Raw genomic sequence first — 17,259 nt, forward strand, 5'->3', positions numbered from 1 at the left:
GTGAAATGGTTAAATCAAACTAAGATATCTGTCATCTCATATGCATGCCATATTTTTGTGGTGAGAACATTTATGATCTACTCTCTTAGCAATTTTTAATATTCTGCTGTTTGACTTTTAAACCAAGGCTTGGATTAGGACAGTCTTTGTAGCTTAGTTTTAGGTTCAGGGATAACAAAAGTTGTTTTATCCTTTGGGCTTTTGCAACTTGCCATTTTCTTAATGAAGATCTGGGAGAAAAATTAGTTTAAGTGGTTTTTAAAATAGCCATTAGCTCAGGACATACTCAGCCAAGGCAGGATAAGTAGTTTTGCCAGCATTCTTCTGTAGGTAGGTTGGTTGTTTTTTGTTTTTTTGCCACAGTCTTTTTAAAAAATATAACTTTAAAAAAACCTTGGTTTTCTGTGATTGATCTTTTTCACTATTTTTTATAGAGGGCCAGGAATATGAGTAAATAATTCTTGGGCTTGGGTGCAGATGATCCACGTGCTGGCAGACAGAAATCTAAAGGGACAAAAGAGGCTGTCCTTTGAAGATACTTTTCCTGGCTTGGGTTTTATATTTTTGGATTTGATTTAGTGAAAATTTTTATTGAGGACCTACTGCATACCAGACACTCGGCTACATTATGAGAGGTTTGGGGGGCCTATATTGGCATATAGGGAGGATGAATAAAGAATACAAACAATTATAGTACAAATCAGAATAAAATTTGGCATGCAACGGGCTATCAGATAGTATGGAGGAAGAAAGCATATTTTATTAGTGGAGCTAGGAAATACGTTACAAAGTTGATAGCATTCTTGATGGGTCTTGAAGGTTACATAGATTTTTTTTTCTTTTTTTTTTTTTGAGACGGAGTCTTGCAGTGTCGTCTGGGCTGGAGTGCAGTGGTGCAATCTCACCTCCCGGGTTCAAGTGACTCTCCTGCCTCAGCCTCCTGAGTAGCTCGGATTAGAGGCTCCTGCCACCACATCCAGCTAATTTATATATGTGTGTGTGTATATATATATATATATATATATTTTTTTTTTTTTCCAGTAGAGACGGGGTTTCACCATGTTGGCCAGACTGGTCTTGAACTCTCGACCTCGTGATTCGCCCGCCTCGGCCTCCCAAAGTGCTGGGATTACAGGTGTGAGACACCACACCCGGCGGATAGAGAGAATTTTGACAGGTGAGGAGGTATTCCAATGCAAAAGAATAATAGGAGCAAAAGCACAGTGGTGAGAAATTGGAGGGGAACTGTGAAAATTGCCACATAGATTAGAGGCAGGAAAATAAAGGACGGCTAAGTTTATATAGTGAACAGTGAGCCGCATGGACACAGGTGACTGTTTTCTCCTTTTTGAACCCCTGCTTACTCCAGAGTCACCACCTCTCCTGGCTTTCTGCCAATCTTCTTGGCCACAGTTTCTCGGTCTTCTTTTCTGGCTTCTCTTCCTTGGCCTGAATGCTACATGTTAAGTGATGTCAGCTTCAGTTTTCTTAACCTCTCTTCTCTTAAGTTGCTATCATTTAAATATCTTTAAATATCATCTACATCCAAGTGACCTCTAAACCAGTAATTTTACCCATGACCCATCTCCTCAACTCCGGATTGTATATAAAACTGTCTACTCAACATCTTCACTTTTGATGTCTAAATCTCTATGTCCAATTTAGAATTCTTGATTCTTTGCTTTCCCTCCCTCCTGGAAATCCTGCTCTTACCAGTCTTCCCCATCTTAATTAATGAACCTGACATTCACCTAGTAGCTTAGTCCTCAAAACTAGGGATTAATCTAGATTTAGTCATTTTTCTTACTCTTGCCATATAATAACATATTATTCTGAGTTTACCTTTACCCGACCCCAAATAGGTAACTGCTGTTTTTGTTATAAGATAGTAATATTTGCCTCTGAGTGTATGTGAATTATTTTGATAAAAATAAATATTATTTTTAAAATATTAATTTTACAGGGATTGTCTCTTGATTTCTTTCCAAAAGTTAACTCATAAGTTGTTCAGCAGAGCTATGTATTCTTCAGTATGTTATAATTTCGTTCCATCTTCCAAAAGGCCTTCACATTCTCTTGGCTTACAGACTCAGATGCTATGGATTAGATACACAAGTACATGTTCCTGTATATCTATTATATAGTGAACATAACAATTATGATTGTGATCTTCCAAAGCTCGTATTTTTAATCAAAATTAATTAAATATTTTAAGCCAAAGAATAAAGGTAGATGCAGCATCTAGTCAAAAGGATATTTCTGCTGGCCACACTCAGGAAGACATAAAGATATAGTTGTAGAAAGTGATATAGTATTGGCCAGGTGTGGTGGCTCACACCTGTAATCCCAGCACTTTGGGAGGCCAAGGTGGGCTGATTGCTTGAGCTCAGGAGTTCGAGGCCAGCTTGGGCAACATGGTGTAAACCCCATCTCTACAAAATACAAAAATTAGCCAGGTGTGGTGGTGGGCACCTGGAGTCTCAGCTACTCAGGAGGCAGAGGTGGAGGATTGCTTGAGCCTGCGAGGTGGAGGTTGCAGTGAGCTGAGGTAGTGCCACTGCACTCCAGCCTGGGCGATAGAGTGAGACCCTGTCTTGAGAAAAAAAAAAGCAACCCAGTGATAGGCTGGGCAAGGTGGCTCATGCCTATATTTCTAGCAGTTTGAGAGGCCAAGGCGGGTGGATCACCTGAGGTCAGGAGTTTGCAACCAGCCTTGCCAACATGGTGAAACCCTGTCTCTACTAAAAATATAAAAAATTAGCCAGGTGTGGTGGTGGGCACCTGTAATCCCAGCTACTGGGGAGGCTGAGGCAGGAGATTTGCTTGAAAAAAAATTAGCCAGGTGTGGTGGTGGGCACCTGTAATCCCAGCTACTGGGGAGGCTGAGGCAGGAGATTTGCTTGAATCCGAGAGGCAGAGGCTACAGTGAGCCGAGATTGCGCCATTGCACTTCAGCCTGGGCAGCAAGAGCGAAACTCCATCTCAAAAATGAAACAAACAAACCCAGTGAAAACCAGTATTGAAAATAGATTGCCTCTCCCTTGCTTCATGGTCTGTTCTTACGTAATTTTCAAGATAAGTTCATTTTGGCGGGTACTGACAAATTTCCATTTATTTACTTTTTTCCCTTACATTCATTTCTTCTCAGTCTCTCCAATGAACGCCTTCACTGATATCCAAAGCATGAAGGACACACCAGGGAAAAACATAGACCTAACACAGGACAAATGGAATTATTAGAAACATTTTCTAGCAGAAGAACACTATTCTGTTGCCATTTGAATCTTTGCTTCTTTCTAGGTTTGACAATGAGCCTATCATATAAGCCCAAATGTAAACAGAAAGAGGTTGAATCAGTCACGATAAGCCCAATTATGCTGTGGTAACAAACAACCTCAAAATCTCATTGGCTTAAAATATACAGAATTATTCTTACTCATGGCACATATCCATCTATCATCTGCAGGGGATCTGCTCACTGAAGTCACTTAGGAACTTGGACTGATGGAACGGCCACTTTTTGGTCACTATATGTATTAATCTGTTTTAATCCTGCTGATAAAGACCCAAAATTGGGAACAAAAAGAAGTTTAACTAGACTTACAGTTCCGCATGGCTGAGGAGGCCTCAGAATCATGGTGGGAGGCGAAAGGCACTTCTTACATGGTGGCAGCAAGAGAAAAATGAGGAAGAAGCAAAAGCGGAAACCTCTGATAAACCCATCAGATCTTATGAGACTTATTCCACTATCAAGAGAATAGCATGGGAAAGACTGGCTCCCATAATTTACCTCCCTCTGGGTCCCTCCCTCAACATGTGGGAATTCTGGGAGAAACAATTCAAGGTGAGATTTGGTGGGGATGCAGCCAAACCACGTAATTTCACCCCTGGCCCCTCCAAATCTCATGTCCTCACATTTCCAAACCAACCATGCCTTCCCAATAGTCACCCAAAGTCTTAACTCATTTCAGCATTAATCCAAAAGTCCACAGTCCAAATTCTCATCTGAGACAAGGGTAGTCCCTTCTGCCTATGAGCCTGTAAAATCAAAGCAAGCTAGTTACTTCCTAGATACAATGGTGGTACCAGTATTGAGTAAATACAGCTGTTCCAAATGGGAGAAATTGGCCGAAGCAAAAGGGTTACAGGGCCCATGCAAGTCCAAAATCCAGCGAGGCAGTCAAACTTTGAAGCTCCAAAATGATCTCCTGTGACTCCAGGTCTCATATCCAGGTTATGCTGATGCAGGAGGTGGGTTGCCATGGTCTTGGGCAGCTCCGTCCCTGTGGCTTTGCAGGGTACAGCCTCCCTCCAATCTGCTTTCACCGGCTGGTGTTGAGTGTCTGTGGCTTTTCCAGATGAATAGTGTAAGCTATTGGTAGATCTACCACTCTGGGGTCTGAAGGACGATGGCCCTCTTCTCACAGCTCCACTAGGCAGTGCCTAGGGACTGTGTGTGGGGGCTCTAACCCCACATTTCTCTTCTGCACTGCCCTAGCAGAGGTTCTCCATGAGAGCCCCGCCCCAGCAGCAAACTTTTGCCTGGGCATTCAGGCATTTCCATACATCTTCTGAAATCTAAGTGGAGGTTTCCAAACCTCAATTCTTGACTTCTGGGCACCCACAGGGTCAACACCACGTGGAAGCTGCCAAGGCTTGGGGCTTCCACCCTCTGAAGCCACAGCCTGAGCTATATATTGGCCTCTTTCAGCCACAGCTGGAGCAGCTGGGACACAGGGCACTAAATCCCTAGGCTGCCCATGGCGCAGGGACCCTGGGTCCAGTCCATGAAACCACTTTTTCCTCTTGGGCCTCTGGGCCTGTGATGGGAGGGGCTGCCATGAAGGTCTCTGACAAGGCTTGGAGACATTTTCCCCATGGTCTCGGGGATTAACATTAGGCCCCATGCTACTTATGCAAATTTCTACAGCTAGCTTGAATTTCTTCCCAGAAAATGGGTTTTTCTTTTCTATTGCATAGTCAGGCTGCAAATTTTCTGAACTCTGTTTCCCTTTTAAAACTGAATGCCTTTAACAGTACCCAAGTCACATCTTGAATGCTTTGCTGCTTAGAAATTTCTTCCGCCAAATACCCTAAATCATCTCTCTCAAGTTCAAAGTTCCACAAATCTCTAGGGCAGAGGCAAAATGCCACCAGTCTCTTTGCTAAAACCTAACAAGAGTCACATTTGCTCCAGTTCCCAACAAATTCCTCATCTCCATCTGAGACCACCTCAGCCTGGATTTTATTGTCCATATCGCTGTTGGCATTTTGGACAAAGCCATTAAACAAATCTCTAGGAAATTCTAAGCATTCCCACATTTTCCTTTCTTCTTCTGAGCCTTTCAAACTGTTCCAGTCCCTGCCTGTTACCCAGTTCCAAAGTCACTTCCACATTTTTGGGTATCTATTCAGCAAAGCCCCACTCTACTGGTACCAATTTACTGTATTAGTCTGTTTTCATGCTGCTGATAAAGACATACCTGAAACTAGGAACAAAAAGAGGTTTCATTGGACTTACAGTTAGTTCCACATGGCTGGAGAGGCCTTAGAATCATGGCAGGAGGTGAAAGGCACTTCTCATGTGGCAGTGGCAAGAGTAAAATGAGGAGGAAGCAAAAGTGGAAACCCCTGATAAACCCATCAGATCTCGTGAGACTTACTTCACTATCAGGAGAATAGCACGAGAAAGATCGGCCCTCGGGATTCAGTTACCTCACCCTGGATACCTCCCACAAAATGTGGGAATTCTGGGAGATACAATTCAAGTTGAGATTTGGTAGGGACACAGGCAAACCATATCACTATACCACAAGTTTTTTTAAAAAAACAAACTTTTGAGAATCTTGTACTGATAATTAATATCTGGTCTGGAAGTGAAGCACATTTCTTTTTCTTGCAACTGATTGGCCAGAACCAGCTAGATGGCCCCACCAAGCCAACATTGGGGGAGAACTGAAATATTTGGCAAACAGCAACCATGACCATCACAGCTGGAAGTTCTCAGTCTGGAACTCCTTCCCCAGGCCTCCCATTTCTGGAACTCTGAGAACAACAATCCAGGAATCTGATGACATCTTTTCCTTTACTAGCCAAAATCTGATGACATTTTTTCCTTTACTAGCCAAAAGGGAGAACAATAAGCAAATAAATTCAATTTTCTCCCATTTATACTTTTAAATCTGAGAACGAATTGTGTGTTTATAAGAAAGTGAGGGTTGAGCATCATGAAGAAAAATATAAAGATCTTTAAAAAGTATATATTGGGCCTATTAGCTACAAACATGGATCATTATTAATATGTGTCTGACTGACATTTAAAATGCATAATCAAAATCAAGCCTGTTAGATACAAAATTCATCCATTAATAGCAACTAAATTTCATTAGGTAAGTAGTAGTGCTATGTTTAAAAGAGTAATCTATTTGGAAACAGGAATTAATACTCAGAATATTATTATTAATATATTTGAAAATTACTTGTGTTTATTTGTCCCAGCCCTTACAAGGTGTGTGGTAATGGTTAAGGTATTTCTCCTCTATATGCCTGAGTTTTCTTCTTTACAAAAGGGGGGAGGGAATAATAGCACCTGATTTTACTTTTGTTGTGAAGATTAAATTTGTACATATATAAATCTATATATCTATATATACACTTATATATGTATGTAAAATATGTAGGCTTGTGCCTGACATTAAATACTAAAAAATACTAGCTATTATTTTTATCCTCATATTATCAGATATGACACATTCATAATTTAAACAGAAGCCTACGAAGAACTCATAAATTAAAAGAAGATAATCTTTTCACAAGGTAACAAATTTTGGAACAATTTTTTAGAGTCTCTAGACATCTGTTACTGACGTTGTGAGTGAAATGGGTCTGTGAAGGGAAGATACAGGTGGAACTGGGCCAGTGTTTGCAGAGGACCATGATATTTCTATATCTCTGCTGGCTCCCTATCAGTTCTAGAGCTAGTTCAAGTGAAGCCTCCATAACCTCTGGACAATAAAAATGCACCATGCTATTGTTAGCATGATGAATGAATTTATTTTTGTTTAGCTTACAGAAAGTTAGTAGTTTTCAAAAGGGTCTTTATGTATACAATTGAAGATACTACATTCTTGAAAAGGAAATCTTTACAGCATACAGGTCCCTGGCACTAATACCTCATTTCTGGGCACAGCTTGATATGGAGGTATAGTTTGTGTTTTATCTGAGGAAAATTTAGGTTGGTGTTATGTTTTGGGCTAGCTCTGCTGAAACATTATTCTCTTTTCTTTTAGAGCCAGGGCTGTGGGCTGTGTCACTTGTGACTTGGCAGCCCTTAATGGGGCTACATGAGGAAGACATTTCCTTACATGATTCCAAGAGTCTTTCTCTGGGGTTCTGAGGTAGTCTCTGTGTTTCTTGGAGATATCGTTGGCTCTAAAATTTCCCCTAAGTGAGGTGATATTCTGTCATCTCATGCATGGGTTTTGGAGGCTGAGGGGTGTCTGGGTTGGCTCCACCACCTACCAGTTGGGTAATATTGTGTAGTTTTTTTTTTAAACCTTTCTCAGCTTTAGTTTCCTTATTTGAACAGGGTTAAAAATTGGGCTTGAGAGAAGGATTAGAGATAATATTAGTAGATATTGTTGATGAATTGGGCGAAGCAGAGGGAGGGGGCAAAGTTGACTACCTTTGTTTCTGTCTCAAACAAGTAGGTGGTGATGCCTTTGAGGAGATAAGAAAAGTGACTTGTGTGTGTGTGTGAAAGACAGACACACACACATATATATATATAGAGAGAGAGAGAGAGAGAGAGAGACTTATAAATTTTGGATATATGGTTTCAAGGCACTTTTCTGGATGCATAAGTGTAAATGTTCAGTTGAAGTTTTAATGGTGCTTAGGAGAGAGATGTGAACGATAATAGAGATTCCAAAGGCCTTTACATCAAGAGGATAACTGAAGCTATAGGAGCAGATGAGGCACACCTGTAAAGATGAGACAAGAAGAAAGCCTAGGGTAGCTCTGAGAACTTTGCTATTTAGTGTCCTCATAGAGGGGATGGAGGATTCTTCACAAAAAGTTCAGTTTTGTGACACCACATTCCCCTGATTTTACTCTTACCTCTTGAGACACCAATTTTTTAATGAAGAAGAAAATTATGTTGCCTGCTTAAAGTAAGGAAAGCAGGTGTTGGTGGGATTCCTTAATAGAAATATAGAGGTTTAAAATACCTACAAGAGTAGGAGATAGAATTGATCAAGTAAAAAAATTGAAGAGATTAATTGAGGACTTAACATCAGAGACCATATGTTTGTTGTGACAATAATCCAAATTATTGTAATAATGTGTTTAGGAGTATTTAGCCTTGTAGGTACCAAGATTGCATTGATCCTGTGTTAGGAGTTTGCCAGGTGTGTGCAATAGTGAGAAAGACATGAAGGGATTTGAGGTTGCTGATGAGTGACCAGTTTAGATGACAACTACTGTTTCTTCAACTCTTTCTTCAACTTCAACTGTCTGTTTTGGGAAAGGCTAGTGGCCTGTGAGGAAACGAAGACCCCGGAGCTGGAGGACTCAAAGAGTTTGGAGAGCAGACGTGTGCAAGTGAGGGTTTTGTGAGCACTGGAGGACAGGCAGCTGGGGAAGAGAGTGTGTTATTTGCAGTTATGATATTGGGTGTGGAGCTATTTTTGGTGGCAGCAAAGCTCAGGATGTATTTTTTTATTATTCCCATAGGTGATGGAGGCTTTTTATTTTGCCACAAAACCACTGGTGACGTTGCCTGTGGCCACCTTGGAGAAGACACTGGAGGTACACAGGATGTATCCCTGGAAGTGGCAGGGGGTATAAGTTTAGTAGGAGATTTGTTACTGAGTATTTAAGGTCTAGGAACAGATTGAGGGTGTTGGGTGGATTGCCCACTAAGACACTGGGTTTTCTAGCATGATGACAGAAATTGGAGTTTGGGGGGAGAAGAGTTCTATTGTGTCTTGAAGAATGTGATCAGGAGGTATTTCTAATGACACAAACATAGAAGTATACACACTGGTATAGTCAGATGGCATGAGTACCAAGGTGGAAGTGTGGTGGTCCTAAAGTGGCATTAAGGAGCCAATAAATTGTCATTCCTACCTTAGCTCTGTGTCAGATGAAATACACAGCATAGTGTGGGGAGAAAATGTTGGGCTTATTGGGGATGGGGTCTTTCACATAAAGGAAGAAGGTTTCAGAAGGCATAGTGGTATGAAAAGAGGAGAAACCAAAGGGAGGAAGGTCAATAAAGGGTTAAGAACGAGGGGAGGCAAATTGACTTTCTTTCAGCATATGAGGATTATAGGAATGGAAACCTTAATTGGAATTAATTGACCACAAATATTCCAAAGATGGAGTGAATCAGTTCGAGACAGAGATATCTGAGGGTCTGAGGGTCTGAAGTAGGATTTGTCCCAGTCGTGTGTGGGTGGGTTCACTGTGTGGAGCCTGGGGTCTTGAGGATCTGAACATGGGCTGCCTCCTGTGTGCACGGTGGAGGCATCTGGCCTGTTCTCCCTGGGGTGGACTCATGATGAGCTGAGTGGCCAAACACACAATGGTTTTCATTTAACATCTCATTTCTAGCCTAACGACAAACCTAAAAGGTGGGCATAACAATAATGTTAATAAAACATCTGCATTTCTCCCATCCTTGGAGTTGTGAGGATTTAATGCAATTGTTTGTGGGAAAGCACTTTAACAACTCTAAATTACGATATATATGCTAGGTTTTATTGTTACCCACACCTTTGATGTATTTCTCTTTGTACTCTTCACTGTATCTGTAACACATTCCCTAGGATAATTAGGGCTACCCTTTAACAAAGCCAAGATTCTATTTATAGTGGTAAGCTGGCACCTGGGCTGATTCTCTCTAGTGATTATGTAGTTTTGATGTGGACTGGCATTCTTCCCTGGAGTTTGAGTACCTCCGTCAGCACTTCTCCCGTCCAGAAGTTCCATCTCTGTGTTTTTCTATTACAAAGCCCAGACACCCATCTAGGCCACCCACCAGGTTCCTCTTTCCAGTCTTAAGGACATCTTTAGCTCCTGGCTCATTTGTGAGATGGAGTGGACTGACATGCCCTAAGCAAAGATTGCCAGCCTGGTCTAGTTTTCCAGGTCTCCCTTGACTCGACAATAAAGTAACCACTAGACTTTGAGAATTGCAGTTTTACATTGTCTAGAGTCTTCTAGACTTTCATGAAGATAGGCAAATATGATTCTAACCAAGATGTATTAATACCTCCTACTTCCTTTGAAATGTAACTGAGACTGTACTTGAGACGTTACAATTTCTTGGAAGGGGAAAGGAAGCTTCTGCTATTGAACGAACTTTTTGTTAAGGTAGCTCCCAAGCAGGTTCAGTAGCTTTGTTCTATTATCACTTTTCTACTGACAGTGATTTTTTTCCTTTGAAGGCCTGGGACATGGAGACTGCTTTTCTGCAGAAACCACATCCCTTGGAGTAATGAGCTACACCTACCTCAATTATTCAGTGCAGTACAACACTCCAGGTCAGCTATTAAGAGGTGCACACATTATTTTTAGAAAATGTGAGTCAGTCTTGGGGAAAACAAATCTATGCTATATGTTCTTTTTACTCACTTGATTTACAACATACTGTGATGTATTCTTTTTCTATTCAGCATCTTTTTGTACCCGTAGCTCTTTGTTCTGAGCATAAATGTGACCTTTTGGCTTCAGGTAGAAACTCTGTCTCATGAGCACTCCCTGGACACGGAAGTTCTTTGAAATAGCATTGATTTTGTTTAAGCCTTCATGTTCCCCTGGAAGGCTGATTAACCTTAGTGCCTTCTTTCTGTAATAGCTCATATTGAATTATCTCCCTCTGTCTGATTATATCCATTTGAATCACCTGCAAGTTTCTTTTACATGTCTAGAGTGAGGACAATGTGGGTGATGAAGAGCTGAAATCTTCTAGGTAAACATTAGATTTTTAAAAATTCTATTTTTTTTTTTTTATTTTTAAGACAGGGTCTCACTCTGTCACCCAGGCTGGAGTGTATTGGCATGATTACAGCTCACTGCAACCTTGAACTCCCAGGCTCAAACCTGAGCAGCTGGGACTACAGATGCACCACCATGCATGGTTAGTTTTTTAATTTTTTTTTGTAGATAGAGGTTCTCACTATGTTGCCCAGGCTCATCTCAAATTCATGGCCTCCAGAGATCCACCTGCCTCAGCCTTCCAAAGTGCTGGGATTACAGACATGAGCCACTGCACTAAGCCAAAAACTCTTGTTCAAATTACATTTTCTGCCTTAGTAATGCTGCTTTCCTAGCTTCTGAGAATTTCTAAGACCCAATGGTAACTCTATGCTAAAATTAAAATACGAATGTCCTTTTCAAAACTGCACAATATCTTTGCTATTGTCAATAATGTCTCAATAAACATAAAATAGCAAAGAGATTGTGCAGTTTTAAAAAGAACATTCGTATTTTAATTTTAGCATAGAGTTACCATCGGGTCTTAGAAATTCTCAGAAGCTGGAAAAGCAGCGTTACTAAGGCAGAAAATGTATTCACAATAGCAAAGACTTGGAACCAACCCAAATGTCCATCAATGATAGACTGGATTAAGAAAATGTGGCATATATACACCATGGAATACTATGCAGCCATAAAAAGGGATGAGTTCTTGTCCTTTGTAGGGACATGGATGAAGCTGGAAACCATCATTCTGAGCAAACTATCGCAAGGACAGAAAACCAAACACTGATGTTCTCACTCATAGGTGGGAGTTGAACAATGAGAACACTTGGACACAGGGTGGGGAACATCACACACCAGGGCCTGTTGTGGGGTGGGGAGAGGAGGGAGGGATAGCATTAGGAGAAATACCTAATGTAAATGACGAGTTAATGGGTGCAGCACACCAACATAGCACATGTATACATATGTAATAAACCTGCACATTGTGCACATGTACCCTAGAACTTAAAGTATAATAATAAACAAAAAAAACCACTGCACAATCTCTAGTATTCAGATGGAGACTAAGCATGATTTTTCTTATAAAAGAGCAGATCAGAATGTTGTATCTTTTATTCAGAAGACTGGAGTTAATCACTGTTATCTTTAGTACTTAGTGCTGCCAAGGCTGTGTGTTCACAATGAGGATAGGATGTCAAATAAATGAAGCTTCATAGAACAAGAGCAGGATTGAGTCATGTAGGCAACTGTTTCAGCTTCCTCACCTAACTTAGCACCAAAATGTGTTATTGTCATTACAGAGTGCTTATTTAAAGAAAAATAAAAAGAACACACACACACACGCACGCACACACACACGCACGCACACACACACACATGTAGCTACATGTCTAGGAAGGATGTGGAGAGCTGAAATATGAAGGCAAAATAAAACATCTTTTTCAAAGTATACAGCCTACAGTGGTTAGCACAGAGCTGGCCACATAGCAGGGGTTTCATAAATGCTTGTTGATTAAACTCTTTTTTTTGAAAACAATAATGTAGAAGCAAAGAGCCTAAAGTGTTTTCATAAATCTTAAGTGGTAGCTTTATGTTCCAGTTCAGCAAAACACAAATTTGAAGGCAATCTGTACGTTAGGGTTCAGGTGAAGAAGGCAAAGGAATCAATGAAATTGTAAAAGCTTTCCAAATTTGCCTTTTCTCTTAAGATTGTCTTTCTCTCATTCTCTTCTCCCTATTTCAGGAATGCAAATATCCTGTTTCATCAATCTTTTGTTTTCTGACTCAAGATAACAACAATAATTTATTGAGCACAAACCATGACTTTTGGGTCTGTGTAGCCCCGAAGCTTCATAGTTCAATATCTGACACATAAGAGGGGCTTACTCTACACTTAAATGTTAGTTTTGTCCTCACTTTTTTCTCTTTCTCAGAGATCTCCCTTTTCCCCTACTTGTATAAGCATGAAGAAATCTTTCTTTTCATTCTCTCCAAGTTTAATCAGACAACTCCACATACATACATCTTTGTTCACAACTATGAACAAGACAGAAAAGTTGCTGGACCTCAAGGACTTTACAATCAATCTGGGAAGGCAAACATTGAACATATAATGTCCAGTCTGATAAGTGTTAGGGAAGGAAAGCTCAGAATGCAAGGGAATATAATCTAATCTAGGAGATCGTGGGAAATATCACTGGGGAATTTGGAACTGAAAGAAAAATAAGATTTGATTAGGGGAAATTGAAGGATCAGGGAGTCAGGCGGAGAAGAATGTCCCGGCAGATGAGACACTATGTACCAAGCCCGAGTTTGACAGAGAGCGTGGTTTACAGAAGGAATCTAAAAGGTGTAGTTTCTGTAGCAGAAGTGTAAGGGTGTTACTCGTAGGAGGCCTCTATTGAACTCTTTTCCAGTGACGTAGTGTGTGGTCTTTAAGTGGCTTTGCAATGATAGTAAGATCAGCATTGCATTACTGAATGAGCTCCTTTAGTAAACGTGGATATGTGCTTTCTGAATCTATTTGTTTGTTTTTCCCAAGTCATAAACAGTGAATCAAGCAAATGAAACATAATCAAGCTTGGATAGTATCTTCCACTAATTTCCTTGGTCTTAAGTAAGACTGACAGTAAACTGATGGTCAACCTGTTCAATGGGCTTTAACAAGTAGTAGCCACATCCAAGTCAACAAACAGTACAGGCAATCAGGGCCCCTGGCCTACAGTGAATCATGGGAATTACCCCAGGGACCTATGCTTTGGGGACTCGTCCTTCCTGGCAGCTATAGATGCCATCAGAAACTCATTTGCACACTCTTATAACCAAGATAAGGGCAATGGTTAGTCCCCTGTCATTGCATGTTAGCTTTCTTTCCCTTTTCTAGGCTTTTTCAGATGCCTCTTTTACATTATTACTTTTCCTGTGTGAAAATAATGCGTGGGAAATGGGTAGGTCATACAGAGCGATAATTTCATTCCTGGGCCCCTGTCTTGCAGCTCCCTAAGTAAAGTTTTGCGCCTGGCACTCCTCTGGCATAGTAACCTCTGACAAACCCTTGGGTAATAGAGGAGTAGCAAAACCCATGGGTAATGGAGGAGTAGCAGGAATATTATGATTAGCTAACAAATTCACAAAGTACATAGAAATTTTTTTCTCGAATAACCACTATAGCTGAGGAATATAGATTAGTGACAAAATTGTGCACTCAACCAACTCTATTAAAAGTATTTCATTATTCCCGTGAAAAAACTCCTAGGAAAATGATTCACTGAGAGATATACGATTGTATAAGTATTGAGAAACAGTCTTTCTTTTTTGCTTTTTATTTATTTATTTAATAGACATTATAGTTACACATAATTATGGGATACAATTTGATGGTTCGATACATTTTTATGTTGTATAATAATCCAATCAAGGTATATTTAGTGTACTCATCACTTCATGCATTTATTATTCCTTTTTGATGAGAACATTCAAAAGCCTCTCTTCTAGCTCTTTCGTAATATCAATACCTTACTGTTAATCATAGTCACTCTACTGTGCAATAGAATGCTAGAATTTATTCCTCCTATTGAATTGTAACTTTGTACCTGTCGACCAGCCTCTCCCCATCTTCTTCCCCTTCCTTCTTGCTTCCCCAGTCTCTGGTAACCACTGTTCTATTCCTTTTTTTGTTTTTTCTTTTTGCAGAGTTCGCTCTGCCGCCCAGACTGGAGTGCAGTGCACAATCTTGGCTCACTGCTACCTCCGCCTCCCAGGTTCAAGTGATTCTTTCTATTTTTTGGGAATGTGCGTTATCTAATACTTAGGTGCCTCAGATTTAATGGTGGTAAATCTCACTCATTTTATGAAAACCAAATGAACACTATCCTCACAATGGTTAGAAAGCAAGATCAGCTCAACTTTATGAAAATATGACTATAAAACCATTTATTATTGCCAAGTGGTTGGAGTGGAGTTGACAGAAAGATGCATTATTTTAAATTGTGTTTTAGATGACAGAACAGGAGTCAGTAATGTTCCAGTTTGGAGGAATTAGAGTTAATTGGTTAATTGATTGATTCGATTCAGTCAAATTTATTGAATGACTGCTGTTTCAGACACTGTATTTGGTCCTGGGAAAACACAGATAAATAATATATAATTGTATTATAAATTAATAAAATAGTTTTTTCCCTCCAAATGTCAGTAGTCCTTGGAAAGGACATGTAAACAATGAATATAAAGTGACACATAGTCCAGTCAAGATAGGTAGGAAGGTCTAAGTACAATTGAGTGGTCAATTTCACTTCAGGGAAGGGCAATGATCAGGGAAGATTTCCCAGGGAAAGTGATGCTTGGGCAAATAAGTAAGCATTTTACAAAGAGACAAGGAAGGATAGGGCGTCCTGGGCAGAGGAAGGAGTGTGTACAAAGGCCAAGTGACATATGACAACATTGTACATGAAGGAAACTACCATCAGGCAGAGCTGAAATGTTGGCACATGGTGAAGTGCTAGTTACCGGTCCCAGCCATGACAGTAGTGTAACAAATGCCTGCCTCTGGTGCACAGCAAGATATTAAGATTCCTCAAAACAGTTCATATATTTTATAAATTAAGATAGACATTAACAGAAGCTCATAGAATCAATTAATGCAAATGTAAGTGACCTAAGAGGCATTTTGTTCAGCATAGTTATTGATTTTGCCTGACCCAGAGGATTTGAATTTAGGAAGATGTAAGCCTAGAGTAGCTGTCAGTTATCTTGTGATACATGGGCCTTGGAAGCAAGGTACAGGGACACAGTGGACCAATGGGGGAAGATTAGGTCCTGGTGATGTGATTCAAGCCACTGGATTAAGCCACATCTGAAACGTCTATTTCTGTACTCTTCAGTTACAAGAGATGTTAGTTTGAATTATTTGCTTAAGTCAGTTTTTAAAAAATTCAATTGCAACTTAGGAGATACATCTGGCCTCTTCATTTTACAACTTAGGAGACTAATATCTAGTATGACAAAGTGACTTGCCACCAAATGGCTGGTTAAAAACTGATACCAGGACCCAGATCTAATGACTCAGAGGCCAGGCTTAGAAATATCTAGCTTTTTTTTTTTTTTTTTTTTTTTTTTTTTTTAGACACGGAGTCTTGCTCTGTTGACCAGGCTGGAGTGCAGTTGCGCGATCTTGGCTCACAGCAAATTTTTAAAGCATCTACATGTGAGGGCCTAAGTATACGAGTACCTAGAAATCTATTTTGCAGCAACTATATATTTGATAGAGTGATTGAGTTTAGTTTAAAGATGACATTTCTAAGTGGTAGTGCTGTCAAAAGAGCATTGCATTGAATCAAGAATCTGGCATTCTGTGTTCATAGTTCACTTTTGCCACTAATTATTTTTGTGACCCTGGGTATTTCTTTCTGGGACTGTATTCATTGGATATGAGTATCTCTAAATCTTCTTCAACTTCTATGATTCTAAATGGAAGTACACTCAATTTTCAAGTATCCATTGTGGATTTTATATACTGCTATGTATCCTGAGAAAATCTTCCTTTTGAATTATTTTTCGTATTAATGAGTTCAACTTCACAAATATTTACTGAACACCAACTATGAGCTAGGTGATGTAAAAGTGAATAGTTACTTCTAGTCAGTATTACTTACTTACTTTTGTATTCCACAGTGCAGTTTGATATTGTTTGTAGTTCCAAAGCATTAAACAATGCCTTTTAATCTAGGACATGTGGAATCTTCAAATAAGAGCAGAATTACAAAGAGTTTTAGACTGCCACTTTGCATCATTCTGAGAGGCAATACCATAAGTGTTCAGCAGTCAGAAGAAGGGACAGGGGAAAGTCCTGAGCAGTGCAGGTGGATTAAGAACTAAATATGCCTACAAAAGCACATTCATGCCTAAATGTCATTGCATTTGGATCACAGGCCTTGAGAAGATCTGTACCATCACTGTGGGTAACTTGGGCCCATTTAGAGTACTTGCCTCTGAGGGAAATAAAAATTTGCTAGCAATTTTCTCTAAATGACATTATCATAGGCACTTAATTCCTTGATAGGTTCTTTTAGATAATTTTTTTATAATGAAGCAATTAATTTGATTCACGAAAGTAAGTTTCTAGTTTATATAAAGACCAGATCTGGCCTATTTCTTAGCTTGTCTACATTTGAGTAGTTCCATTGCTGGAAAATGACCCTGGAGCTTTTCAATCTCATTTGAAGAGTCCAGGGGACAGACAGAGACACTAGTTATGCAGTTTACTAGAGCCAGGTT

The 17,259-nt window shown here is 39.9% G+C and overlaps 1 long non-coding RNA gene across 32 annotated transcripts in view, besides 2 other annotated features; it reads left to right on the forward strand.

Moving 5' to 3' along the window:
* CDKN2B-AS1 (CDKN2B and CDKN2A antisense cis and trans regulatory RNA 1) overlaps positions 1-17,259 on the forward strand; it is a 133,352-nt gene that overhangs the window by 60,420 nt on the left and 55,673 nt on the right. For 11 of the 32 annotated variants that reach the window (NR_185867.1, NR_185859.1, NR_047532.2 and 8 more), the window contains one exon: positions 1,042-1,177. The exons of 8 other annotated variants lie outside the window; for them this stretch is intronic. This is a non-coding gene — a long non-coding RNA (CDKN2B and CDKN2A antisense cis and trans regulatory RNA 1). Of the gene's footprint in view, positions 1-1,041; positions 1,956-3,148; positions 3,845-6,742; positions 6,817-8,733; positions 8,809-10,451; positions 10,548-11,024; positions 11,144-17,259 lie in introns of those variants that run through there. 13 more of the 32 variants (NR_185857.1, NR_185856.1, NR_185852.1 and 10 more) reach the window with 7 other exon arrangements.
* Positions 13,650-13,794: an enhancer, noted in NCBI's record as "145 bp 9:22068931 sequence used in MPRA reporter constructs". NCBI's record gives its function as "activates a minimal TATA-containing promoter with rs80298469 allelic activity by MPRAs in C283T melanocytes and UACC903 melanoma cells {active_cell/tissue: C283T | UACC903}" and the evidence as "EXISTENCE:reporter gene assay evidence [ECO:0000049][PMID:36423637]".
* Position 13,722: a transcriptional cis regulatory region, noted in NCBI's record as "rs80298469 or 9:22068931 MPRA-significant variant associated with a GWAS melanoma risk locus at 9p21.3". NCBI's record gives its function as "allelic transcriptional activity by MPRAs in C283T melanocytes and UACC903 melanoma cells {active_cell/tissue: C283T | UACC903}" and the evidence as "EXISTENCE:reporter gene assay evidence [ECO:0000049][PMID:36423637]".

Source organism: Homo sapiens, chromosome 9 (genome assembly GCF_000001405.40).
Source record: "Homo sapiens chromosome 9, GRCh38.p14 Primary Assembly".
NCBI lineage: Eukaryota > Metazoa > Chordata > Mammalia > Primates > Hominidae > Homo > Homo sapiens.